Source organism: Homo sapiens, chromosome 19 (assembly GCF_000001405.40).
Source record: "Homo sapiens chromosome 19, GRCh38.p14 Primary Assembly".
Taxonomy (NCBI): Eukaryota; Metazoa; Chordata; class Mammalia; order Primates; family Hominidae; genus Homo; species Homo sapiens.
In genome coordinates, this window is record NC_000019.10 from 35241974 (window position 1) to 35268040 (window position 26067).

Consider the following 26067-nt stretch of genomic DNA (forward strand, 5'->3'; position numbering starts at 1 on the left):
TTATTGGCAGATTTATCATTAGAAACCTTGGATGCCAAAGGCAGTGGGTTAATACACTTGACATGCCAAAAGAAGAAGAAGAAAAAAAAGACCTATCAACCAAGAATTCTATAGCTACCCAATCTATCCTCCAACAATGAGGAAGAAGTTCAGATATTCCTGGATAAACAAAAGCTGAGGGAGTTCATTACCACTAGTCCTTCCCTACTAGAAATGCTAAACGAAGTCCTTCAGGTTGAAATGAAAGAGTGCAGACAGTAATTTGAAGACATGAAGAAAAAAATTAAAATCTCTGCTAAAGGTAAATACATGAGCAATTATAAAAGCTACTGTTATCATAATTTGAGTTTATAATTTCACTTTTTATTGTCTACATGATATAAAATAAAATGGATGAAAACAATTATTAATCTTCATTATTGGGAAAACAATGTATATAGGTGTGATTTGTGACACTGACAACAGAAAAGGAATGACAGAGGCCAGGTATGGTGGCTCATGCCTGTAATCCCAGCACTTTGGGAGGCAGAGGCAGGTGGATCACTTGAGGTACCTGAGGTCAGGAGTTCAAGAGCAGCCTGGCCAACATGGCGAAATCTCATCTCTACTAAAAATAGAAAAATAAAATTAGCCGAGCATGGTGGCAGACACCTGTAATCCCAGCTACTGGGGCGGCAGAGGCAGCAGAATTGCTTGAACCCAGGTGGCAGAGGCTGCAGTGAGCCAAGATTGCACCATTGCACTCCAGCCTGGGTGACAGAGCAAGGCTCCATCTCAAAAAAAAAAAAAAAGAAAGAAAAAGGAAAAGGAGTGACAGAGCTATATAAGAGCAGAGTTTATATATATACTATCGAAATTAAGCTGGTATAAATGTAAATTGGAGTATTATAATTTTAGGTTTTATATATAATATAATCTCCTCTATAACCACAAAATAAAAAGCTACAAAATATACACAACTGGAAATGAAAAGAGAATCAAAACATTTCGCTACAAAAAAAAAATTAAACATAAACAGTAATGGAGAAAATGAGGGACAAAAAGCCATAAGGTATATAGAAAACAAGTAGCAAAATGGCAGTAATTTTGCTGATAGTCATTTCTTTAAATCAAGATGGAGATTTCCAGAATGTATTTTTAAAAACCACCCAACAATACGCTGTCTATAAAGGATTCATGTTAGATCCAAAGGCACGAATATGTTCAAAGCAAAAGATATGGAAAATGATATTCCATGCAAACAGTAACCAAAAGATAGCTTGAGTGGCTATGCGAATATCAGACAAAATAGACTTTAAATCAAAACAATTTACAAGAGACAAGACAGACATTACAAATTAATAAAAAGTTAAATATCTCAATAAGATGTAACAGTTATAAACATTTCTGCACCTAATAACAGACCTCAAAATATAAAGCAAAAATTGATAGACTCAAAGGAGAAATACACAGTTCTACCATAATAGTTGGAGAGTTCAAAATCCCACTTTCAATAATGGATAGAACACACAGACAGAAAGTAAGTAAAAATATAGTGGACTTGAACAACACAAAAACCAACTAGACCTAACAGATACATATGGAACACTCACCCAATTAAAAAAAAAATCCAAGTACACATGAGACATTCTCTATGATAGATGACATGTTGAGGCATAAGTTAAATCTCAGTAGATTTTAAAATACCTATCAAACGAACTCTTTTCTTTGATCACAACAAGATAAAGTTAGAAATCAATAATAGAAGGAAAAATGAAAATTCACAAATATGTGAAAATTAAACAACATTCTCTTAAACAACCAACAGGTCAAAGAAGAAATCACAAAGGAAATCAGAAAATACTTAGGGACAAGTAGGAAAGAAAACAAAATATACCAAACTTATGAGATGCCCCAAAAACAGTGCTCAGAGGGAAATTAATAGCTATTAATGCCCATGTAAAAAGAATAACTATCTCAAATTAATAACCTGACTTACATCTTATGGAACTAGAAAAAGTAGAGCAAACAAAACCCAAAGCCAGCAGAAGAAAGGAAATAATAGAGACTAGAGCAGAAACTCATAAAATAGAGAAAGAGAATAGACAAAAAAATCTGTAAAACCAAAAGTTGGTTTTTTGAAAAGATTAACAAAATTGGCAAACCTTTGGTGAGACTGATGAAGCACCAAAGAGAGAAGACGCAAATAACTAAAATCAGAAATGAAAGTGGCAATACCACTAATTTTAAACCACCTAGCAAAGAAAAATCTTAAACCAGATGGCTTCATGAGTTAGTTCAACCAAACATTTAAAGAAGAATTCACACAAATAATTTTCAAACTTCCAAAAAATTGAAGAGAAGGAAACACTTTCTAACTCATTCTGTGCAGCCAGTATTACCATAATACCAAAGCCAAATAAAGAAATCACTAGAAAAGAAAATTACAGACTAATATCCCATATGAATATAGATACAAAAATCCTCAAAAAAATTAGCAAATCAAGTTCATTAGCATATTAAAAGGATTACTCAAATATCCAAGTATGATTTATGCAGGAATGCAAGGGTGGTTCAACATAAGAAAATTAATCAATGTAATACATCACATTATTAGAATGAAGGTAAAAAACACACACATGATCATCTGAATTAATACAGAAAAGGTATTTGACAAAATTCAACACACCTTCATGATTAAAAAAAAAAAAACAGAAAACTAATCATACAGGGAAAATTCCTCAATGTGATAAAGGGTATTTATGAAAAACTCACAGCTATCATCATACTCAATGGTGAAAGATTGAAAGCTTTCCCCCTAAGATCAGGAGTAAGACAAAGATGGCCATTTTCACCATGGCTATTGAACACTGTATTGGAAGTTCCACCCAGAGCTATCAGACAGAAAAAGGAAATAAAAGTCATTCAGATTGGAAAGAAAGCAGTAAAACTATCTCTATTCACAGATGACACGATCTATGTATAGAAAATCCAAAAGAATTCACAAGACAGCTACTACAGTTAATAAACAAGTTGCAGGGTACCAGATCAACACACAAAAATCAGTCATGTTTCTATGCACCAGCACTGAACAATCCGAAGAGGAAATTGAGAAAACAATTTCATTTACAACAGCATCTAAAACAATTAAATACTTAGGAATAAATCTAACCAATGAGGTGAAAGACTTGTACACTGAAAATGACAAAAGATTGCTAAAATAAGGCCTGGCACGGTGGCTCAAGCCTGTAATCCCAGCACTTTGGAAGGCCGAGGCGGGCGGATCACGAGGTCAGGAGATCGAGACCATCCTGGCTAACACGATGAAACCCCATCTCTACTAAAACTACAAAAAATTAGCCGGGCGTGGTGGTGGGCGCCTGTAGTCCCAGCTACTCAGGAGGCTGAGGCAGGAGAATGGCGTGAACCTGGGAGGCGGAGCTTGCAGTGAGCTGAGATTGGGCCACTGCACTCCAGCCTGGGTGACAGAGCAAGACTCAGTCTCAAAAAAAAAAAAAAAAAAAAAAAAAGATTGATAAAATAAATTAACAAGTATCTAAATAAATGGCATAAATGGCAAGATGTGTTCATGGATAGAAAGACTTAACATTAAAAATGTCAATACTACCCAAAACAATCTACAGATTCAACACAATGCTGATCAAAATTCCAACGTCTTTTCCCAAAGAAATGGAAGCAGATCCTCAAATTCATATGGAGTTTTAAGGGGCCCCCAATAACCAAAACAATACTGAAAGAGAAGAATAAAGTTAGAGGACTCACACTTTCCATCTGTGAACTTACTACAGAGCTATAGTAATTAAAACATATGGTACTTGCATAAGGATAGGCGTATAGATCAATGAAATAGAATACAGAACCGAGAAACAAACCCTCACATATATGATTAATTGATTTTTGACAAGGAAGCCAAGACCACTTAATGGGAAAAGGACAGTGTTTTCAACAAATGGTAGAGGGAAAACTGAATATCCATATGCAAAAAAATGAAGTTGGACCCTTCTACCACATACTAAAATTAAAATGGCCCAGGCCGGGTGCAGTGGCTCACACCTATGTGAGCACTTTGGGAAGCCAAGGCAGGTAGATTACTTGAGGTCAGGAGTTCGAGACCAGCCTGGCCAACATGGTGAAACCCCATCTCTTCTAAAAATACAAAAATTAACCCAGTGTGGTGGCATGCACCTGTAATCCCAAATACTCGGGAGGCTGAGGCATGAGAATCGGTTGAACCCGGCAGGTGGAGGTTGCAGTAAGCGGAGATCACACCACTGCACTCCAACCTGGGCGACAAAGTGAGACTCAGTCTCAAAAAATAAAATGAAATAAAATAAAGTGGCTCAAAGACTCAATTTAAGAGTTAAAACTATAAAACTCTTAGAAGAAAATATTGTTGAAAATCTTCATCACATTGGACTTGGCAACAACTGCATAAATAGGATACCAAAAGTACAAGGAAGAAAAAATAGTAGGTAAATTGAACTTCATCAAATTAAGAACTTTTGTGCACCAAAGGACACTATCAAGAAAGTGAAAAAACCTGGAGAATGGAAGAAAATATTTGCAGATCATATATCTAACAAGGGATTAATATTCAAAATATATATAGAACTCCTACAACTTGACAACAAAAAAACAAACAACCCAATTCAAAAATGGGCAAAGTACTTGAATAGACACTTCTCCAAAGAAGATATACTAATGGACAATAAATTCGTGGAAATATGCTCAACATCGTTAGTCATTGGGGAAATGCAGATTACAACCACAATGAGATGCCACTTCACACTAACCAGGATGGCCATAATCAAGAAAATGGATAATAAGTTTTGGTGGGGATGTGGAGAAATTGGAATCCTCCGTGCATTGCTGGTGGGAATGTACAATAGTGCAGTCATTGGGGAAAACAGTTTGGCAGTTCCTCAAAAGGTTAAAAATAGAACTACCAAGTCACCCAGCAATTCCATTCTTAGGCATATATTCAAAAGAAATGAAAGCAGATATTTGTACACCAGTGTTCACAGCTGCACTATTTACAATAGTCAAAAGGTAGAAACAACCTAGGTCCATCCACAAATGAATGGATAAATAAAACGTAGCATATACATACAATGGTACACTAGTCCGCTGTAAAAAGAAATTTTGATCTTACTGCATGCTACATGGCTTCGACATACTACAACATGGATGGACCTTGAAAACATTATTCTTTGTGAAATAAACTAGACACAGGACAAATGTTAGACGATTCCACTTATATGAGGCACCTAGAATGGGCAATTTGGTAAGCAAAGTAGAATAGAAATTACTAGGGGCACAGGTAGCAGGGAATGGGGAGTTACTGTTTAATGGTCACAGAGTTTATGTTGGGGATGATGAAACAGTTTCGGGGATAAAGAGTGGTGATTGGTACACGACATTGTGAATATACTTAATGCCACTGAATTTTACACTTGAAGTGGTTAAAGCGATAAATATTATAGTTTGCATATTTTATCATAAAAATATTTTTTTAAACGATGAAGGGACGTGAACGGGTTGAAATTTTATAAAAAGTGGCCAGGGAAGGTGTCACTGCAATGGTGTCCTACAGGAGGAGGAAGATCATGTGGACATCTGCGGGAAGGGTGTTCTGGCAGAGGGAGTAGCACGGGCGATGGCTCTGAGGACTGTGAGAAGTATAGTTGGAAACAGCGAGGAGGCCAGGGTGTCCGAAGCTGAGTAAGCCAGAGAGAGTGGGAGGAGGTGAGATAAGAGGGGGAAGGTCAGTTTCTGCTGAGAGTGAGGAGGAGCCACAGGAGGGCTGTGAGCAGGTGGACGTGATCTGGCTTGAGTTTTAACAGGGCCAGTAGAACAAAGCACGCCTGGGTACCGAAACCAGCCACTGGCCAGTTGGCAACCTGGGGGAGTCTAACGCGAGGAAGCGCCCAGGGTTCCCCCAGGATGCGCTTTCCCTCGCCGCCACCTGGAGACAGCAGAGTCACGCCCAGCGCTGCGCAGGCTGATCGCCGCGCCGCGCCCCCGCCCTCGGTCGCAGGTGGCTCGTTCCGGGAATTCCTAAGCGGAAACCGGTCCCAAGCCCCGCGCCTTCGCTCGGCCCCTTTAAGAGCCAGAATTTCCGGAGGGCTGACCCGGGGGCTAGGGATGCCCAGGGGCCGAACCACAAGTTGGGAACGGGTGGGGGAGGTGGCGAAAACTTCCGAAGTGGAATTCCAACTTTTCCTGGCCCTGATTCCCCTTGGGCATCCCTGAGGGGGCAGAGCTTCCCTTCCGGGGACTTTAGAGGGTTCCTCAGGTCATCTAACTGGGAGACACAGGAGGCCCGAAGCGCCCCCCCTCCACCCGGTCCGGAGGAACCCCAGTGGAAGTGGAGAAGTCAGGCGCCACCAACAAGCCTCTCCCAGCCAGGACTTTGCTTAGACTCGCTCCTCCCGGCAGGGCGCACCTAGGCGGGTCCATCGCCAGCCGGGGAGAGGGGTTTGGGCAGGGAGGGAACAGGTGCGCGGCGGGACCCGCCCTATCTCAACAGGTGAATCGCTCCAAGTGGGTCTCGGTTGCATGGATCTCGGTGCGCTTGGTTTGGCCGGAGCAGATGGGGGCCGGAAGGGACCTGTGGTCCGCAGGCGCCCTCCCAGCGGGCCAGTCACTTGGTTCGGGCCCTGGGGGACGGAGCGCACCTGGGTCAGCCCACTTCCGGGGAGGGAGGCAGAGGAACCCCTCCCCGCCGCTCACCCCTAAGCCCAGCCCTCGGCTCCCACCCTTGTGTACCTGGGCCGAACCATTCACCGGAGCGCGCAGCGGGTGGAGTGTGGCTCGGAGGACCGCGGCGGGTCAAGCACCTTTCTCCCCCATATCTGAAAGCATGCCCTTTGTCCACGTCGTTTACGCTCATTAAAACTTCCAGAATGCAACAGGACGGACTTGGAGTAGGGACAAGGAACGGAAGTGGGAAGGGGAGGAGCGTGCACCCCTCCTGGCCTTGGTGCGCGCCGCGCCCCCTAAGGTACTTTGGAAGGGACGCGCGGGCCAGACGCGCCCAGACGGCCGCGATGGCGCTGTTGGCCGGCGGGCTCTCCAGAGGGCTGGGCTCCCACCCGGCCGCCGCAGGCCGGGACGCGGTCGTCTTCGTGTGGCTTCTGCTTAGCACCTGGTGCACAGGTACGGGGCACGGGGCCTCTGACGCTGCGGAACGCCGGAGGGAACTGTAGAGGGGGATGGATGGAGTTGGAGGCGGCGGGAAGCGGGAAGCGGGGGTCTCAGAGGCTGGGACCTTCCGATCCCCTGGGTCTTGGGCGATCTGTTGCGCGCGGGAGTGAGAGGAATTCCCCATTTGTGCCGGGGAGCGCTCCCCGCGCCCTTATCTGGAAGATAGCAGGAAGTGAAACTCCCTGGACGGTGAGACCCGGAGCGGCAGGGAGAATGGAACTCTTTGTGGGGAGGGAGTGGAAGACCGCCCGATCTCTGGGAAAAGAAAAGCCGGGATGGGACTTGGGCGCACCCGGGGATTTCTAAGTTTTGGAGTAACGGGGAGAGGGCACGGGAGGGCTGGATCAGACGCTTCCTAGAGGGACAGAGACGAAGGAACAATGCCTAGGCCTCGGGTGGGTGTGGGACTGGGGACTCCCCATCCCCCGCACCCCACCCACCTCCCGCGGGCTCCGGATTATACGTGCGTAAGAGTCTGGTGGGATGGATTTACGGACTTGAAACCGACTTCTGCTGGCAGGCTTTCACCTGGATGGGATATTTGGGTGGTGATGAGGTCTTTCCCGAGACACTTTTGGTTCAGTCATTTGAAATGACTTTAGAGTAGGGTGAGGTGGTGGGAGGCTGATGGAGATATTGTGGGGGCTTTAGTCCCTCCATGGCAAAGCAGTTCAGGCAAACAACTCCATGGTTTTCCCTCCAAATTCAAAAGGCCCCGGGTAACCTGGAATCCTTCGTAGTCGGTTTTGAAGTGGGGCCTTGGGCGCTGGGGGCATCAACATGGCCATCTGGGCTTGCCTGCCCAGGCCACACAGAGGCCCCTTGTTGTGGGTGAATGGCAAAGGGAAGAGGGGACTGGTGTGGTTCAGAGGCCACAGGCTGGGAAGAGGGATGGCGGGCGAGTCCAAGGAAACTGGCCGTGTCACCGTGCACCTGCCACTTCAGCCCCACGGGTCTATAAAATGGGCATGATTATCGTGGCTACCTCACTGGTCCTGGCAATTAAGGAACAATGTGTGCCAGGCACTCTGTAAACCACATACTTGCGAGTGTCAAGCTGGTGACAGGTGGCGTTCCTGTTGAAGCACCTCCCTGAGCTCACAGCAACCCTTGCTGTCTCTCCTCTTGCCCTCAGCTCCTGCCAGGGCCATCCAGGTGACCGTGTCCAACCCCTACCACGTGGTGATCCTCTTCCAGCCTGTGACCCTGCCCTGTACCTACCAGATGACCTCGACCCCCACGCAACCCATCGTCATCTGGAAGTACAAGTCTTTCTGCCGGGACCGCATCGCCGATGCCTTCTCCCCGGCCAGCGTCGACAACCAGCTCAATGCCCAGCTGGCAGCCGGGAACCCAGGCTACAACCCCTACGTTGAGTGCCAGGACAGCGTGCGCACCGTCAGGGTCGTGGCCACCAAGCAGGGCAACGCTGTGACCCTGGGAGATTACTACCAGGGCCGGAGGATTACCATCACCGGAAGTATGTTGGGCAGGGCAGGGGGATGAGGCTGGGCTTGCCCGGGTGGTGGGACTGGCGTCCTTGTGCGGGACCTGGAGTCCCCATCTGAAAGCTCTTGAGTGCCAGTGTCTGAAAGGACCATTGAAGGGAGCAATTCTTTTTTTTTTTTTTTTTGAAGATGGAGTCTTGCTCTGGACTCCAGGCTGGAGTGCAGTGGTGCGATCTCAGCTCACTGCAACCTCCACCTCCCAGGTTCAAGCAATTCTCTTGCCTCAGCCTCCCGAGTAGCTGGGACTCCAGGTGCGTGCCACCACGCCCAGTTAATTTTTGTATTTTTAGTAGAGATGGGGTTTCACCATGTTGGCCAGGCTGGTCTCAAACTCCTGACCTCAAATGATCTGCCCGCCTTGGCCTCGCAAAGTGCTGAGAGACACCATACCCAGCCTAAAGGGAGCGATTCTATTCTACTATTCTTCCTTCTGCTAATCCTTCCATTCTTTAATTTAATAACGAAGATTTTTTGAGTACCTGTCATATACCAGGTGCTGTTCTGGGCCCTGGGAATACAGCTGTTAACAAAATCATCAAACCACTTCCCTCGTGGAGCCCACATTGCAGTGAGAGAGACAAACACGACACACACTCTCAAGTCCTTGAAGATAAAGAAAACTGGGTAACGGAGAGAAGAGGCCAGGGTTTGTTCTATAATCATTAATAACACGAGCAGTAAGAAGTAAAATTTATCTAAGTAACAACTTATAAAGGGTCTACTGTGTGCTAAGCTCTCATCCAGGTTCCCAAGGATTAACTCAGACCACACAGTAATTGAATAGATTCTATCATTGTCATCTTACAGAGGCCCAGAGAGAGAAAGTGACTTGCCTAGTGTCATAGCTGGTAACGGGGCTGGGATTCTAACTCAGCCACTTTGGGTCTAGTGGCCAAGCTCCTAATCCCTTTGCTTGCCTAGGGTGGTCCGCAGAGGACTCACAGAGGAGATGGCAGGAGTGAACTGCAGGGGCAAGAGAGCTTAATGGAGAAAGCCTGTGACATGCCAGGAACTGCACACATATTCTCCCATTGAGTCCTCTCCTCTACCCTCCTGACAGCTGAGGCACAGAGAGGTTACCTTGTTCAAATGGGTGCATAGGAAGTCAAAGTCTGGAGCTGGGGTTTGAACCCAGGCAGCCCTGAGAACCTTGTTCTTTTTTTTTGAGACGGAGTCTCGCTCTGTCGCCCAGGCTGGAGTGCAGTGGCGGGATCTCGGCTCACTGCAAGCTCCGCCTCCCGGGTTCACGCCATTCTCCTGCCTCAGCCTCCCAAGTAGCTGGGACTACAGGCGCCCGCCACTACGCCCGGCTAATTTTTTGTATTTTTAGTAGAGACGGGGTTTCACCGTTTTAGCCGGGATGGTCTCGATCTCCTGACCTCGTGATCCGCCCGCCTCGGCCTCCCAAAGTGCTGGGATTACAGGCGTGAGCCACCGCGCCCGGCCCCTTGTTCTTAACTGTAATGCTGCCTCCTGATAGGATGTGCCTGTTGGGACTAAGTAAGGGGCAGTCATTCATTCATTCATTTGGTATTTATCAAGCATCGACTATGTGTCGTTGGTGCTGGGGATAGAGGTGATTGGGATGGCTGAAGTTTCTGTCGTCAAGGAGATGACATTCTGGTGGAGTGAGACTGGCAGTAAATAAGCAGATAAAGAAAGAGTATGAGAATTTCAAAGTCTGGGCACGGTGGCTCACGTCTGTAATCTCAGCACTTTGGGAGGCCAAGGTGGGTGGATCACCTGAGGTCAGGAGTTCCAGACCAGCCTGGCCAACATGGTGAAACCCCGTCTCTACTAAAAATACAAAGATTAGCCAGGCATGGTGGCACATGCCTGTAATCCCAGCTACTCAGGAGGCTGAGGCATGAGAATCGCTTGAACCCAGGAGGCAGAGGTTGCAGTGAGCTGAGATCGCACCACTGTACTGCAGTCTGGGCGACAGAGTGAGACTCTGTCTCAAAAAAAAAAAAAAAAAAAAAGACTCCGTCAAGGTATAAGAATGTCAGAGAGTACTAAGTGTTGCAAAGAAAATAACACCAGGCTGGGTGCATTGGCTCATGCCTGTAAATTTCAGCACTTTGGGAGGCCAAGGCAGGAGGATCACTTGAGCCTAGGAGTTTGAGACCAGCCTGGACAACAAAATGAGACCCCATGTCTACAAAAATTTTAAAAATTTAAAAATTAGCTGGGCATGGTGGCATGTGCCTGTGGTCCCGGCTGCTCAGGAGGCTGAGGTGGGAGGATTGCTTGGGCTTGAGAGGTCAAGGCTTCAGTGAGTCATGATCGTGCCACTGCATTCCAGCCTGGGTGACAGAGTGAGACCCTGTCTTGAAATGAAAAGAAAATAGGCTGGGCGCAGTGGCTCACACCTGTAATCCCAGCACTTTGGGAGGCCGAGGTGGGTGGATCACCTGAGGTCAGGAGATCGAGACCAGCCTGGCCAACATGGTGAAATCCCATCTCTACTAAAAATACAAAATTTAGCCGGGCGTGGTGGTGGGCGCCTGTAATCCCAGCTACTCGGGAGGCTGAGGCAGGAGAATCGCTTGAACCTGGGAGGCGAAGGTTGCGGTGCGCCAAGATTGCGCCACTGCACTCTAGCCTGGGAAACAGTGAGACTCCGTCTTAAAAAAAAAAGAAAAAAGAAAATAGCACTGGGTGATGTGCTACATGGAATGACTTGGGCTGTGAATATGATTTGAGGAGGGCCTGGGCCTGGGCCTTACAGAACCTAGAAGGCAGAGAGGAAGGGGAGGGGCAGGGTGCCAGGGATGAAGGCTCACGTACCTCATGTCTTAGTGTGTGTTCACTGTCTTAAACAAGAATTTAAAGTTGGGCATGGGGCAGAGCGGGGAAGGGAGCATCCCTTTGCAGACCCCAAGAAGCCAGGAACTGGAGCACATTCTGCTAGAGGATCGATGGGAAGCAGGGTTCCAGGGGCTGAGCCTATGTCAGTCCTGTTTCAGAGGAGGCACCAGGCTTGCTTGCCCTGAATTTCTGTGGGCAGCTCAGCCATGAGCATCCTACTGTTATTGAGGTCACAGGGCTGCTTAGGCCCCCTCCTCTCTAACCCAGGGATTGTGCCTGCCTGGACCAGGCGTGACTGCTAAGCTTCTGCCAGGACAAGCCAAATACTGAGGGTGCTTCCTCTGCTGGACGCAAAAGTCCAGGATGACCCCCCAGGCTCTGTCTCGGGGAAGGGGCCCTGCATGCTCCAGGGGCCTCACAGGCCTGGGTCTTTCAAACCACCCCCACCTGGGCCTGTGTTTGATCAAGGCCCTGAGTGTAAACATCCATTGTGTGTGTCCTTTCAGGAAATCCCATAGCCATAGGAGCTTCCTCTGTTTCAGCTTTGAGGATGGGGAAAAGTGGACTCCCCGTGGTGTTCCTAGGGTCACCCACTGTGCTGGGGTTTTTCTGTTGTTGTTGTTTTTTTTCTGTTGCCCAGGCTGGAGTGCAGTGGTGCAATCTCAGCTCACTGCAACCTCTGCCTCGCAAGTTCAAGTGATTCTCCCGCCTCAGCCTCCTGAGTAGCTGGGATTACAGGTGCACACCACCACACCTGGCTAATTTTTGTATCTTTTTGGTAGAGATGGGATTTCGCCATGTTGGCCAGGCTGGTCTCAAACTCCTGACCTCAGGTGATCTGCCTGCCTTGGCCTCCCAAAGTTCTGGGATTACAGATGTGAGCCACCATGCCCGGCCTATCCTGGTTTCAAAAGTGAAAATAGTCCTGGATAAGGTAGAAGGCTGTCCACTCCAGGCATCCCTCCGGTCCGGTGGCTCATTCCCTGCTTTGTCCTTCCATGCTTTGGGTGATGGACCAGCACCTGGACAGGAGGCCCTGTTCCACCTCCTCGGGCTCCTTGGGGTCCAAGTGCCCCCACCTCCAGCTGCACTGCAGCAGAGAGCCCATGGGACCTCTGAAATCATGAAGGTCACCTTTGCGGTGTATAAAGAAGGAACCAGAGGTTGGAGATGTGGAGGAGGCCTGGCTGCTGTTCCCACTGGAGACCTGGCATCTTCTCCCCGACCTAAAACAATGAAAGCAGTGCTCAGCCCGGATGAGATCACGGCCAGCCCAAGACCAGGAACAGGGTACGCCCTGCAGGAAGAAGGTGTGCCCAGACCTTAGGATGGATCAAAAGAAGCCGGAAAACTATATTTTTTGTGAGTTTTGAAAATGTCAGACAGGTCAAACAAAACACAGTGAGGTCCAGCCTCGGCCTACAAGATGCCAGATTTCAACCCCTGGCCTATATGATCTGTTTGCCATGGCAGGCGGTTCCTGTCCACCTCTTTTGTTTATAGCAGGGACCAGCTCTTGAGCTCCAGTGTTGAAGAGGCACGGTCAGGGTCTGATCTGAAGACACTGGTGGCTCATGCCTGTAATCCCAGCACTTCAGGAGGCCGAGGCAGGAGGATTGCTTGAGGACAGGAGCTGGGAGACCAGCCTGGGCAACACAGTGAGACCCAGAGACTACAAAAAAATAAATTTAGCGGGGCATGATGGCACACCCTGCTACTCTGGAGATGGGAAGATTGCTTGAGCCTAGGAGTTCGAAGCTGCAGTGACCCATGATCGCACCACTGCACTCCAGCCTGGGCGACCAAGCTAGGCCCTCTCAAAAAAGATACAGGTGGAAAAATGATGGACGAAGAGGGCATTGTGGCAAACCTGGGGATTTAGGAGAACCTAGTTTGGAATTCTATGAGGATTCAATGAAAGAATGTGTGTAGAGGGGCCCAGCACATAGTAAGAGCTCAATAAACGGTGGGGGCTAGGGGCGGTGGCTCATGCCTGTAATCCCAGCACTTTGGGAGGCTGAGGCAGGTGGATCACTTGAGCCCTGGAGTTCAAGATCAACCTGGACAACAAAGCAAGATCCCATCTCAAAATTAAAAAACAACACCAACAACAAAAAAACAGTGGCTTAGATGCCTGATCATTAGGGTAAGTCGTGTCCTCAACCCCTTCACATCTGCTCTGAAGGTCACCATATCCGGAAGCCTTCCCTGGCCTCCTTGTTTAAAATGGCACAGCCCCCACTCCACGCCTGGCACTCTCTGCTGTCCCTGATTCGTTTTCTCCATACAGCTTATCTTTGTCTGATATGTGACATAGTTAACATTTTATATTTGTCTTTCTTTCCTAGTTAGAATCTGAACTCTAGAAGGGCAAGGGCAAGGATTTATAACTCAAAGGTTCCGGGCTTAGGCCTCTTTTATATTCTTGATTTTGAGGTTAATTAAGAGCTCAGGCCTAGCGAGGTGGCTCATGCCTGGAATCCCAGCACTTTGGGAGGCCCAGGCGGGCAGATCACTTGAGGTCAGGAGTTCCAGACCTGCCTGGCCAACACAGTGAAAAACCTGTCTCTACTAAAAATACAAAAATTAGCCAGTTATGTTGGCAGGCGCCTATAATCCCAGCTACTCAAGAGGCTGAGGCAGGAGAATCGCTTGAACCCAGGAGGCAGAGGCTGCAGTGAGCCAAGATCGTGCCACTGCACTCCAGCCTGGGCAACAGAGCGAGACTCCATCTCAAAAAAAAAAAAAAAATTAAGAGCTCAAAGAGTTTGTTTTCATAGGCAGCAGAATGAGAAAAGTTTACAAAATAGTTTAAATGACAATAAAGTCATTATAGATTAACATAAATAAAATACCTTTTATGAAAAAAATAATCATTTTCTGAAATCAGACAAAACATTGTGAATGAGAAGGTGGCATGGTTTTATTTTTTTGCAAGTCTCCGAAGCCTGGCTGGATAGAAGAGCCTGGCTTCTCAGAGCTGCTTCAGTCTGTTGTGATATCTATTGTATGTCACGTAGCCTCTGGAAAACTCCACAGTTAGTATTGTTGGGAAAATAACTTTGACCTCAGGATCTCCTGAAAACGTCTTGGGGAACCCCAGGGTCTAGAGGCTGCAGTTTGAGAACTGTTGCTGTGGTATCCCAGGTGTCTCAAATACTGCCTAGAACATAGGTGGTACTCAGTAATTATTGTTGAAGGATGAATGAATGAATGAATGAATGAATGAATGAAAGAAAGAAAGAAATGTGTCTTTGAATCCAGCCATGTGCCCAGAATGATGAGACAGATGACAAAAGCTAAGGGACTTTAGCATGAGGAGAGGGGGTTCGTTTCCTTTTTTTTCTTTTTTTTTTGAGATGGAGTCTCACTCTACTGCCCAGGCTAGAGTGCAGTGGTGCAATCTCAGCTCACTGCAATCTCTGCCTCCTGAGTTCAAGCAATTCTCCTGCCTCAGCCTCCAGGGTAGCTGGGACTACAGGTGCGTGCCACCATGCCTAGCTAATTTTTTACATTTTTGGTAGAGATGGGGTTTTACCATGTTGGCCGGGCTGGTCTGGAACTCCTGACCTCAAGTGATCCACCTGCCTCAGCCTCCCAAAGTGTTAGGATTACAGGTGTGAGCCACCATGTCCGGCCAAGAGGGTGTTCATTTCTGCTCCTTGCCAGGTATTGTGTCAGGCACTGGGGACCCAGCAGTGGCTGAGACAGACAGGGCTCTGCCTCACGGAGCCCACATTTTCACCAGGCAAAGGATGGTCGGCCCCTAAGCTGGGAGATAAGACTTCAGCAGTTGGGTGGGGGAGCCGTGGGAGAAGCCCAGCCCACAGGGGGACAGTGCAAATCTAGAACCAAGGCGATGGCAGGGGTGAGGCTGGCACGGTAGCTAGAGACCACGTCGTGCCAAGGGCCTTGGGGACCATGGGACTATGGGACCTTAGGGAAGGCGTCTGGAATGCTGTAGCCAGACACTGTTGCAAGGAGGATTTTTCTGTAGACATGAGGCCTTCCTTATGAAGAAAGCAAGGGTTCTTTCATTCCTGGGGGTGCCAGGTGCTGTGGACTGCAGCACGCGTGGTTGCTGCCGTCACAGAGCTGTCATGCAGGAGGGCAGCGCGTCCTTGGGAAGGTGGCAGGCAGGTCAGGCTAGGAGGAAAGAGGCCGGGAAGCTGAGGGCATTTCCTGCCCGAGATGCCCAATGTAGCCTACTTCTGTCCCCAGTGGCTTAAGGCAGAGTTGCCTGGTAGGTGCCCTGGTCCCACCCTGGTGAAAGGCTGAAGGTATTTAATTAGTGCCTGAGAAGCAGAGAGGAAACAGGATGTGCCAAAACACTTTGATGGATGGTAGAGTTAACAGGCTCCTTGCCTGCAGCTGCTTCAGACAAGAGCGTCCCCAAGCCCTGGGCCTGACCTGGAATGTGGGGATGGAAGGGGAGGGGGAGGAACCAAGGCACTGGGAGGGTAAGTCTCTCTCTCCCACATAGACACACCCACTCCTTATGGGTGCCTGGGCATCTCCTGGTACCTAGAATCTGGCCTGTTTATCTCCACACCCATCCCTGGGGTCTACACTAGGCCCTGTGGGTGGCAGTTCACATCAGGGGAGTTCTGACTTTGGCTCTGAGAGGTGGTTCAGAGATGGCTGTAAGTTGAGAAGCACAGACTGCTGGGTGTGGTGGTTCACGCCTGTAATCCCAGCACTTTGGGAGGCTGAGGTGGGGGTGGATCACCTGAGGTCTGGAGTTCAAAACCAACTTGGTCAACATGGCGAAACTCCATCTCTACTAAAAATGCAAAAATTAGCCAGGTGTGGTGGCAGGTGCCTATAATCCCAGCTACATGGGAGGCTGAGGCAGGAGAATTGCTTGAATCTGGGAGGCGAAGATTGTAGTGAGCCGAGATTAGTTCGCACCATTGCATGCCAGCCTGGGCAACAAGAGTGAAACTCCGATTCAAACAAAAAAAAAAAAAAGCTGGGCATGGTGGAGTGCCTGTAGTCCTAACTACTCAGGTGGGAGGATTGCTTGAGTCCAGGAGGTTGAAGTTGCAGTGGGCTATAATTACACCACTGCACTCCAGCCAGGGCCACAGAGTGAGACCCTGTCTCTAAAGAAAGAAAAAAAAAAACAACCTCAGGCTCCGAGGGCACCATTACTGCTCTATACTGAAGAGCTGTGCAGCTTTTCCAGACCCGAAATGTCATCCACAAAACAGAAGTGATAATGGTCCTGCCTCACAGACTTCTTGCAGTAGTCCAGGTGTTTAGAACGGGGTGTAAAAGGCCGTGTGCCCTTGGTAGGAATCTTTGCATATGCATTTGATCATCTGCAGCCTGCCCAGCCCACTGCTTGCCCCCTCCTGGGTGTGCTGGGAAGGGGTCTTTGGCCCTCCAGGGGTTAGGTGCCCCAGCCTCCAAGGTGCCCTCACGCCTTTTCATCCCGACTCAGATGCTGACCTGACCTTTGACCAGACGGCGTGGGGGGACAGTGGTGTGTATTACTGCTCCGTGGTCTCAGCCCAGGACCTCCAGGGGAACAATGAGGCCTACGCAGAGCTCATCGTCCTTGGTGAGTGGGCCTGGGAAGGGGGAGGCATGGCCCTTCCTTTTGTCCGCTTCTGTTCTGTCTGCCCTCCCCTGTGTCCGCCCTCTGCCCTCCAGCTTACCCTCTGGGCTCTGTCGCCTGCTCTGCTCTCCCCCAGGCTCTGCCAGTCACTTAGGCTCCCCTGTGCCCTGCACCCCAGGCAGGGACCACTGGCCCACAGTGCCTCCAATCACCCAAGCCAAACTAAGAGAAGAGTGGAGACAATTGGAGACTCTGCCTTTTCAAAGTCTCATTTTTAAAAAAAATCCAGACTTGGGGTCCGGGTGCGGTAGTTCATGCCTGTAATCCCAGCACTTTGGGAGGCCGAGGCGGGTGGATCACTTGAGGCCAGGAGTTCGAGACTAGCCTGGCCAACGTGGCAAAATCCCGTCTCTATAAAAAATATAAAAGCCAGGCGTGGTGGTGCACATGCCTGTAATCCCAGTTACTCAGAAGGCTGAGGCATGAGGATTGCTTGAACCTGGGAGGCAGAGGATGCAGTAAGCCAAGATCAAGCCACTGCACTCCAGCCTGGGCGACAGAGTGAGACTCTGTCCAAAAAAAAAAAAAATCCAGACGTGGTCAGAGTCCATGGGCAGTGAATGAGGACAGTTGATGGTGTGCAAAATCGACCCACCTCTTGCTACATCCCCAAGGCCTCATCTCACCCGAGTCCCTCGCCAAAGCACAGCGGTTTTGCCGTGTGCCCTGCTGGGATGGCGCTGCATGGCACACACACTGTGTAAGTTTGAGTGCAGCTGAAACGAAGCCGATTCCAGACACCCAGGGGCAGGGCGGGGTGTCCGTGTGGCTGGGAGGCCTCCTTGTGTTAGGGGGATGTTGCCATCGGCCAGGTGCCCTGCTGTAAGCCAACACATGGAGTCTTGTATGACATGTGCTCTGCATGAGTGATGCCGCTGGGCTGTACACTGCCATCTTCACATGTGTGAATGAGCACGTGACTGGGGGGTACTTGGGCTGCAAGACAGAGTTCATGTGTGGGGGATGGAACACGTGCACCAGTGACCCAGGAACCTCTGCCTGTTCTTCGGTAAAATGCACCATTTGCATCAGCAGTTCCCAAAATTAGTCTCCAGGTCTATTTACACTCTAAAACATTATCGAGGGTCTCCAAGAGCTTTTGTTTGTTTCTGTGGGTTTTATGTCTATCTGTTGCTTAACATATTAGGAATTAAAATGGGGAGATTTTCCTTTTTTTTTTTTTTTTTTGAGATGGAGTCTCGTTCTGTCGCCCAGGCTGGAGTGCAGTGGCTCGATCTCGGCTCACTGCAAGCTTCACCTCCTGGGTTCACGCCATTCTCCTGCCTCAGCCTCCCAGGTAGCTGGGACTACAGGCACCCGCCACCACACCCGGCTAATTTTTTTTGTATTTTTAGTAGAGACTGGGTTTCACCATGTTAGCCAGGATGGTCTCGATCTCCTGACCTCGTGATCCACCCACCTGGGCCTCCCAAAGTGCTGGGATTACAGGCATGAGCCACTGCCCGGCCTTAAAATGGGGAGATTTTTCAAGCCCAAGATACACAAGGAAGACTGGGCAACATGGCAAGACCCTGACTCTACAAAAAATTTTAAAATTAACCAGGCATGGTGGCATGCACCTGTGAGCCCAGCTTCTTGGGAGGCTGAGGCAGGAGTATCGCTTGCACCCAGGAGGTCAAGGCTGCAGTGAGCCGTGACTATGCTACTGCACTCTAGCATGAGTGACAGAGACCCTGGCTCAAGAAACACAAACACACACACACACACACACACGCATATAGTCCATTAGGCATCAGGGCGATGATGGCATCAGGGAGCCTGGGAAACTCTACTGGACATTCATGGGAGAACAAGTGAAAAAGGCAAATAACATCTTAGTGTTATTCTAAAATTTCTTCTTTTGGCCTTGTGGACAGGACCACGCTTTGAGAGCTGTGACTGACATGCCTCTGTCCTGTTGCGAGGGCCTATAGTGCCAAGTGCATGAGCTCTGGGGAGGGCTTCGTGGGTGCAGAGCTGGGCCTGTGGAGGCCCCTCAGACACAACACTGGTGGGGCTCAGAGCTCCAGGGGCACTCGAGGGAAGACAAGAACCGGCTCTGAGATGCGTGAATGTGACAGTGCATGAGTAGAGATGGAGACCTTGTGGGTCCCAGAACCAGGACTGCATATGACTTTCATATGTGGGTATTTTTGCCTTCATGGGTCCCTTCCTGTTTTAAAAAAAATGTGTGATTATGTTGTCACAAAGAGTTTATTCCTGTATATTGTGTTAATTTGTGTTCAGATTTGTAAAGTAAAATTAAACCATTTCAGCCAGGTGTGGTGACACATGCCTGTAGCCCTAGCTACTTACCCCAGAGGCTGAGGTGGGAGGATCGCCTGAGCCCACGAGGTTGAAGCTGCAGTGAGCCATGATCACACCCCTGCACTCCAGACTGGGCGACAGAGCTGAGATCCTATTTCGTGGGCCCTAGGTCCCTGTGCCTGCTGGAACAGGACATCCCTATCACCGTGGTTGGAGCCCTTTGGGGTGCTAAGACCTATGAATGAGGGAAACTTAGGGTGCCCAAGCTGAGGTAGAGCCCTCAGAACCCCCTGGGATTTGTATTGGAGCCCTCGTGGCATAACACAGGTGGATTATGCAATGGGAGTTTCTTACCTATAAGCACCCACATGTGGGCGGGTGGAGGGTAGGAGCCATGCACTAGGGCTTCAGCCCCCAGCCCCTTCCCGCTTCAGGGCACACCTTGCACTTGGCCAGCCTGGAGCTGGGCTTTCGGGGGTGGCACAGCCTGGGCTGGCTCTGGCCAGCATAATCTGTTTCTCTTTTGTCCCTCCAGGGAGGACCTCAGGGGTGGCTGAGCTCTTACCTGGTTTTCAGGCGGGGCCCATAGAAGGTACGGGGGGTGGATCCTGAGTTGGGCTTCTCGGGAGCTCCCATACATCACCTACTGCTTCTGACTCTAGTTAGTATCCCCTTCCCCACTAAACCCTGCTCACTGTGGACCCCTCACTAACCTGGCCTGACTGTGGCTCTGAGGCATCTAGTGGTCTGGCGCTGGGCCTAGGCTAGGCTGGGCTGAGGAGAGCCTGGGGTGCAGGCCAGGGCTCTGTGACTGGCACCTGCGGTGCTCTTGAGGGTGTGGCGTCTGGGCAGCTGGCTCTCTCTTTGGTCTGGGGGCTGCAGTCTGTCTCCCTCTGTGCAGGCTGCCTCGTTTTCTGCCTTGTGTTTTTTGCACCTGGGGGAGGGCCGTAACTGGGGAATGGCCGGGATGGTAGAATGGGGAGTGTGCTGTGCCCAGCCTCTGGCACAAAAAATCCAGCCAGGGCTGCAGGTTCCTTGGTGAGCTTTGCAAATCGTCCCCGACCTCAGTGCTGGCTCCGCACCATGTACCCCTGCTGTGCCGTTAGCCCTGTTCCCTCCCAGGCCTCCGGGCTCAGGGCCTGTTGTCTTTCTGCAGACTGGCTCTTCGTGGTTGTGGTATGCCTGGCTGCCTTCCTCATCTTCCTCCTCCTGGGCATCTGCTGGTGCCAGTGCTGCCCGCACACTTGCTGCTGCTACGTCAGGTGCCCCTGCTGCCCAGACAAGTGCTGCTGCCCCGAGGCCCGTAAGTGTCCCGCTCATGGCCACCCTGGTTTGGGCAACATCCTGCATCCAAGGGAAGGAGGTGGCCATCCACCTGCCCCCAGGACAGTGGCGTTGGTCTGGAGGGTGTGAATTTAGCCAGTGGGGAGAAAGTAGGCTGAGGAGGGTCTGCTGTTTAGATTGTCGTTTACTTCCTCCAACTTTTAGTTTATTTTTATTTATGTTGTTCTTTTCTTTTGTAAGTATAATCCATACACATGGTAAAAATGTCCAACAGTACAAGATACTAGTCACATGGAAGTAAAGCCCTCTAAAAAAACCAAATCTTGGCTAGGCGCAGTGATTACGCCTGTAATCCCAGCACTTTGGGAGGCCAAGACGAGTGGATCACTTGAGGTCAGGAGTTCCAGATCAGCCTGGCCAACATGGTAAAACCCAGTTCTCTACTAAAAATACAAAAATTAGCTGGGCATGGTGGTGATCGCCTGTAATCCCAGCTACTCAGGAGACTGAGGCATGAGAATCGCTTAAACCCAAGAAGTGGAGGTTGCAGTGAGCTGAGATCACGCCACTGCACTCCAGCCTGGGCGACAGAGTGAGACTCTGTCTCAAAAAAAAAAGAAAAAAAAATGTTAAGTGAAAAAGTTAAGAAACCAAACAAGGTTTACAACACTACATGATTTAAGCAAAAAAAATTTTTTTTGTTTTAGAGAAAGGGTCTCATTCTGTCATCCAGGCAGTGCAGTGCGATCATAGCTCTCTGCAGCCTCAAACTCCCGGGTTCAAGCAGTCCTCCCGCCTCAGCCTCTGGAGCAGCTGGGACTGTAGGCACACACCACCATGCCCAGCTAATTTTTTGATTTTTGTTTTTTGTAGAGACGGGGTCTCAGTATGTTGCCCAGCCTGATCTCAAACTCCTGGCCTCAGGTGATCCTCCCAAGTCAGCCTCCCCAAAGTGCTGGGATTACAGGCATGTGCCACCATGCTGGCCAATTTTTAAAAATTTTCTGTAGAGACAGGGTCTTGCTATGTTGCCCAGGCTGGTCTTGAACTCTTGACCTCAAGTGATCCTGCCTCAGGCTCCCAAAGTGATGGGATTACAGGCATGAACTACCACACCTGGCCTTAAACTTAAGCAAATTTTTTTTTTTTTTTGGAGACAGTTTCACTCTGTCGCCCAGGCTGGAGTAAAGTGGCGTGATCTCTGCTCACTGCAACCTCCGCCCCCCGGGTTTAAGCTATTCTCCTGCCTCAGCCTCCCGAGTAGCTGGGATATAGGCGCCTGCCACCACGCCTGACTAATTTTTGTATTTTTAGTAGAGACGGGGTTTTGCCATGTTGGCCAGGCTGGTCTCGAACTCCTGACCTCAGGCAGTCCGCTCCCCCGCACCCCTACCTTGGCCTCCCAAAGTGTTAGGACTACAGGTGTGAGCCACCATGCCTGGCCAAATTTAAGCAAATGTTTGAAAACACATACCCACAGGAATGCTGCACATTTTACCCAGCTACTATGTCTAGGGTCGTATCTAGCACACCAGCATGGCTACTGTGGAGAGCTGGGACTGGATGTGAGATGAGAGCTAAAGGGGAAGTAAGCAAACCAAGCAGGGGAAGGTAAGAGAAGACAGAAGACAGAGAGAGAGGGACCTAACTCTATGAGAGGAGTCAGACATGTGCAATTGAAAAAGACTTGCTCCTGTCTCTCTTCTGTGAATGTTTGTGAATATCCCAACGGGACACTTTCACAGAGGAGCTGATTGACGTGGTCACAGCCATCAGCCTTGGGACACCAGACCACAGTGTGTACACTAAGTGGCACTGATGGACACTTCAGCATCCCTCTAGCTGCTGTCCCGTTTCCCCTCCTCGGGGACCACAGCTGTTGCCAGTCCTTGGTTTCCTTCAGGAGGGTGTCTGGGTAGACCAGCCTGTGTGCACACAGTCCAAGATACATGAACAGTGAAGTGCCAGGCAATCCTTGCAAGCATGGGCAGGTGGAGAGCTGAGGCCTGCTTGACACCTTCCTGCTCAGAAGCCCAGTGAGCAGTTTCCCTCCCTAGGGCTCAGTGTCATCCCCTATAAAATGGGGCTTATGGCAGAGCTCACCACACTGGGTGCATCTGGGGATTTGGCGAGCTCATGTGCACACCATTGAGCATGGGGCCCAACCTATATAAAATATTCTACGTCTGTCAGCTGCTGGGCACTGCCACTATCAGCCTCAGTAGTGACTGAGGGACAGGGCACCAGTCAGAGCCCTGGTGCACACAGAGTGACCCCAGAGAAGCAGCCTTCCCTCTCTGAGTCCTGTTTCCTTCTGTTAGGTCCTGACTTCATGGGTTGTTGTTAGCATTAAGGAAGTCGCTGGCTAATTTTATAGTCATTGAAGTCAGTGGTGTGCAACCTGGTTCCTCAAAGGATCACTTCCCTGAAAAAATTCCACTGCTCCCTGGAGGCTTATGCAGGCCATCCCATCCCCTCCCTCTTGTTGTGTTCAGCTGACAGCTTTTTGCTCAGTGAGTAAGTGTTAGGTCCATTTCACAGATGGGCTGCAACCAAGTTTGCAGTGAACCCACTAAGACCAGAGCTAGGGCCAGGACTAAATGCTGGTCCCAATGCCACATTCCCCTGTCCCCACACCACATTTCCTCCATCCGGAGACCCTGTTACCCCAACCCAGGGCCCCATTAACTCCCTGGCAGAGGCCCTGTTACATCTGCTGCTGCCACAGCCTCCGCCCACCCTTCAGGAGGCAGCAGGTCCCACTGCTGATGATAAAGTTGCAGGCTGCCTGAGCTAATGAAGGGGCTTCCTCTAGGCTGTGCACTTAGTCTTCTGCTTCCAAACCAAATCAGAGGTGAGGCACCCTCTCTGGGCCCATCTCTCTCCTCCATTTTCCTGTTGGGGTCCCAGGGAGGAAGCCACTTGCCTAGGGCCCAGGAATTTTGCAAGCCTCTTGCCCTAGGGAGGAAGGAAGGGAGGAGGATCTTACCTTGAACTGTCAAGCCTAGAGCCTGGTGGGGCAGGCAGAAATGGGTGCAGTCCATGAGTTAGAAACACTAGAGGAGACACTTTGCTGCTTGGCCGGGGCAGGCAAGTTAATTCCCGAGGCTCCTGCCACTGCATCTCAATCTGGAAGGTGACCAGGTGGGCAGGACCCACGTCTCCCAGATGACTCATTTTTTCTAGAACAGGGGCTTGGCTGCCAAAGAGGATACTTGATTTCGGCTTGTGGGGACAGTGGTGGACCCAGCATCTGGGCTTTATATAAAGGGCAGCTTTGTTGCCCTGTAAACACACAGACCATGGGTGGCCACTTCTTCCAGTAAGTTAGCTGGGGAGTTGGAAGTTTAGGTAAAACCTTTTGATTGACAAATGTTGGCGAATTACCATGCTGTTAAATGAAACATTGTTCTGCCACCCTGGGGCTGTGGGTGCCTGCGTGCACCCTCTGAAAAATCACACAGGAAGTGGGGTGGGGTCTCTGTGAAGCTGGTGTCCCCCAGCCTCAGGGATGCTGCAGAAATGGAATGAGGACCAACAGGGACTCAGATGTCCAAGGAAGCTCTACAGCGGAGAGGACGGCTTGGGAAGGAGGTCCAGGCCCAGGTCCCTCCGGAACCCAATGGGTATGGGGCAGCCTGGCTCCTGCCTCATCCCCCTTCTCCTGTTGATTGTGTCCTCACAGTGTATGCCGCCGGCAAAGCAGCCACCTCAGGTGTTCCCAGCATTTATGCCCCCAGCACCTATGCCCACCTGTCTCCCGCCAAGACCCCACCCCCACCAGCTATGATTCCCATGGGCCCTGCCTACAACGGGTACCCTGGAGGATACCCTGGAGACGTTGACAGGAGTAGCTCAGGTGAGGCCGGGGGAAGCAGGAACAGCTGGTGGGAGTGTGCTGGGCATCTGGACACTGAGGGGCAGGGGCTGGAAGGAAGAGTGTCTTGGGAGCCGAGGAGGGGCTCTGCTCCTGGTGCGCGGCCACTGACAGCCACTCTCCCCCAGCTGGTGGCCAAGGCTCCTATGTACCCCTGCTTCGGGACACGGACAGCAGTGTGGCCTCTGGTGAGAATCCATCGTCCCGAAGTTGGATGTGCCTGTAAGGGAGAGGGGTGGGCCAGGATCCATCCTCCCAAACCGACCACCACCCCCCTGTCCCTAGAAGTCCGCAGTGGCTACAGGATTCAGGCCAGCCAGCAGGACGACTCCATGCGGGTCCTGTACTACATGGAGAAGGAGCTGGCCAACTTCGACCCTTCTCGACCTGGCCCCCCCAGTGGCCGTGTGGAGCGGGGTAAGCAGGAGCCTTGGGGTCTGAGGGCTTTTAAGGTGGGGGGGTGAAACATGTCTCCCTGATACCTGCCGCAGGGACTCTTGGTGCAAACCCTGGACCCCGGGCTCCTCCAGCAGTCAGTGACACCCCCCTTCCCTGCAGCCATGAGTGAAGTCACCTCCCTCCACGAGGACGACTGGCGATCTCGGCCTTCCCGGGGCCCTGCCCTCACCCCGATCCGGGATGAGGAGTGGGGTGGCCACTCCCCCCGGAGTCCCAGGGGATGGGACCAGGAGCCCGCCAGGGAGCAGGCAGGCGGGGGCTGGCGGGCCAGGCGGCCCCGGGCCCGCTCCGTGGACGCCCTGGACGACCTCACCCCGCCGAGCACCGCCGAGTCAGGGAGCAGGTCTCCCACGAGTAATGGTGGGAGAAGCCGGGCCTACATGCCCCCGCGGAGCCGCAGCCGGGACGACCTCTATGACCAAGACGACTCGAGGGACTTCCCACGCTCCCGGGACCCCCACTACGACGACTTCAGGTCTCGGGAGCGCCCTCCTGCCGACCCCAGGTCCCACCACCACCGTACCCGGGACCCTCGGGACAACGGCTCCAGGTCCGGGGACCTCCCCTATGATGGGCGGCTACTGGAGGAGGCTGTGAGGAAGAAGGGGTCGGAGGAGAGGAGGAGACCCCACAAGGAGGAGGAGGAAGAGGCCTACTACCCGCCCGCGCCGCCCCCGTACTCGGAGACCGACTCGCAGGCGTCCCGAGAGCGCAGGCTCAAGAAGGTGAGGGCCGCCCTCCCTGGCGTCCAGACCGTCCCTGGGCCCCCAGCCGGTCCCCGCGGCTCATACCCTTCTTTCTTTCTCCCTTGCAGAACTTGGCCCTGAGTCGGGAAAGTTTAGTCGTCTGATCTGACGTTTTCTACGTAGCTTTTGTATTTTTTTTTTTAATTTGAAGGAACACTGATGAAGCCCTGCCATACCCCTCCCGAGTCTAATAAAACGTATAATCACAAGCTCTGGAGAGAACCATTTGTTCGGCCGCGCGGGGCGGGGGACCGGGGCTGCTCCCGTATGCGTCTGTAAAGCGCC

At 50.5% G+C, this 26067-nt stretch overlaps 1 protein-coding gene and 1 long non-coding RNA gene across 11 annotated transcripts, besides 10 other annotated features; both read left to right on the forward strand.

The window, feature by feature from the left end:
- Positions 5613-5782: an enhancer, noted in NCBI's record as "active region_14461". NCBI's record gives its function as "activates an Ori minimal core promoter by ATAC-STARR-seq in GM12878 lymphoblastoid cells {active_cell/tissue: GM12878}" and the evidence as "EXISTENCE:reporter gene assay evidence [ECO:0000049][PMID:35858748]".
- Positions 5916-6718: an enhancer, noted in NCBI's record as "NANOG-H3K27ac-H3K4me1 hESC enhancer chr19:35738792-35739594 (GRCh37/hg19 assembly coordinates)". NCBI's record gives its function as "activates a minimal SCP1, AML or CMV promoter by ChIP-STARR-seq in primed H9 embryonic stem cells {active_cell/tissue: H9 hESC(primed)}" and the evidence as "EXISTENCE:reporter gene assay evidence [ECO:0000049][PMID:30033119]".
- Positions 6633-6712: a silencer, noted in NCBI's record as "silent region_10517". NCBI's record gives its function as "represses an Ori minimal core promoter by ATAC-STARR-seq in GM12878 lymphoblastoid cells {active_cell/tissue: GM12878}" and the evidence as "EXISTENCE:reporter gene assay evidence [ECO:0000049][PMID:35858748]".
- Positions 6719-7520: an enhancer, noted in NCBI's record as "NANOG-H3K27ac-H3K4me1 hESC enhancer chr19:35739595-35740396 (GRCh37/hg19 assembly coordinates)". NCBI's record gives its function as "activates a minimal SCP1, AML or CMV promoter by ChIP-STARR-seq in naive H9 embryonic stem cells {active_cell/tissue: H9 hESC(naive)}" and the evidence as "EXISTENCE:reporter gene assay evidence [ECO:0000049][PMID:30033119]".
- LSR (lipolysis stimulated lipoprotein receptor) lies at positions 7029-25991 on the forward strand. Of its 10 annotated transcripts, none has more exons than NM_205834.4 (10): positions 7029-7158; positions 8342-8686; positions 16972-17091; positions 19952-20008; positions 20573-20719; positions 24386-24559; positions 24706-24765; positions 24863-24994; positions 25136-25761; positions 25851-25991. In NM_205834.4, the coding sequence occupies exons 1-10, from the start codon at positions 7050-7052 to the stop codon at positions 25884-25886; spliced, it is 1806 nt and encodes a 601-aa protein (NP_991403.2). In that variant the 5' UTR covers positions 7029-7049; the 3' UTR covers positions 25887-25991. The 10 variants fall into 10 exon arrangements, with proteins under 10 accessions (NP_991403.2, XP_005259037.2, XP_011525328.2 ...); XM_005258980.3 differs by having other exon boundaries at positions 24866-24994; XM_011527026.3 differs by lacking the exon at positions 20573-20719.
- Positions 7123-7192: a silencer, noted in NCBI's record as "silent region_10518". NCBI's record gives its function as "represses an Ori minimal core promoter by ATAC-STARR-seq in GM12878 lymphoblastoid cells {active_cell/tissue: GM12878}" and the evidence as "EXISTENCE:reporter gene assay evidence [ECO:0000049][PMID:35858748]".
- Positions 15447-15947: an enhancer, noted in NCBI's record as "H3K4me1 hESC enhancer chr19:35748323-35748823 (GRCh37/hg19 assembly coordinates)". NCBI's record gives its function as "activates a minimal SCP1, AML or CMV promoter by ChIP-STARR-seq in naive H9 embryonic stem cells {active_cell/tissue: H9 hESC(naive)}" and the evidence as "EXISTENCE:reporter gene assay evidence [ECO:0000049][PMID:30033119]".
- LOC105372380 (uncharacterized) lies at positions 17098-19429 on the forward strand. The gene is made up of 2 exons (XR_935939.3): positions 17098-17848; positions 19026-19429. It is a non-coding gene; the product is annotated as an uncharacterized LOC105372380 (long non-coding RNA).
- Positions 20151-20849: an enhancer, noted in NCBI's record as "H3K4me1 hESC enhancer chr19:35753027-35753725 (GRCh37/hg19 assembly coordinates)". NCBI's record gives its function as "activates a minimal SCP1, AML or CMV promoter by ChIP-STARR-seq in primed H9 embryonic stem cells {active_cell/tissue: H9 hESC(primed)}" and the evidence as "EXISTENCE:reporter gene assay evidence [ECO:0000049][PMID:30033119]".
- Positions 22367-22416: an enhancer, noted in NCBI's record as "active region_14462". NCBI's record gives its function as "activates an Ori minimal core promoter by ATAC-STARR-seq in GM12878 lymphoblastoid cells {active_cell/tissue: GM12878}" and the evidence as "EXISTENCE:reporter gene assay evidence [ECO:0000049][PMID:35858748]".
- Positions 25770-25849: a silencer, noted in NCBI's record as "silent region_10519". NCBI's record gives its function as "represses an Ori minimal core promoter by ATAC-STARR-seq in GM12878 lymphoblastoid cells {active_cell/tissue: GM12878}" and the evidence as "EXISTENCE:reporter gene assay evidence [ECO:0000049][PMID:35858748]".
- Positions 25930-25999: a silencer, noted in NCBI's record as "silent region_10520". NCBI's record gives its function as "represses an Ori minimal core promoter by ATAC-STARR-seq in GM12878 lymphoblastoid cells {active_cell/tissue: GM12878}" and the evidence as "EXISTENCE:reporter gene assay evidence [ECO:0000049][PMID:35858748]".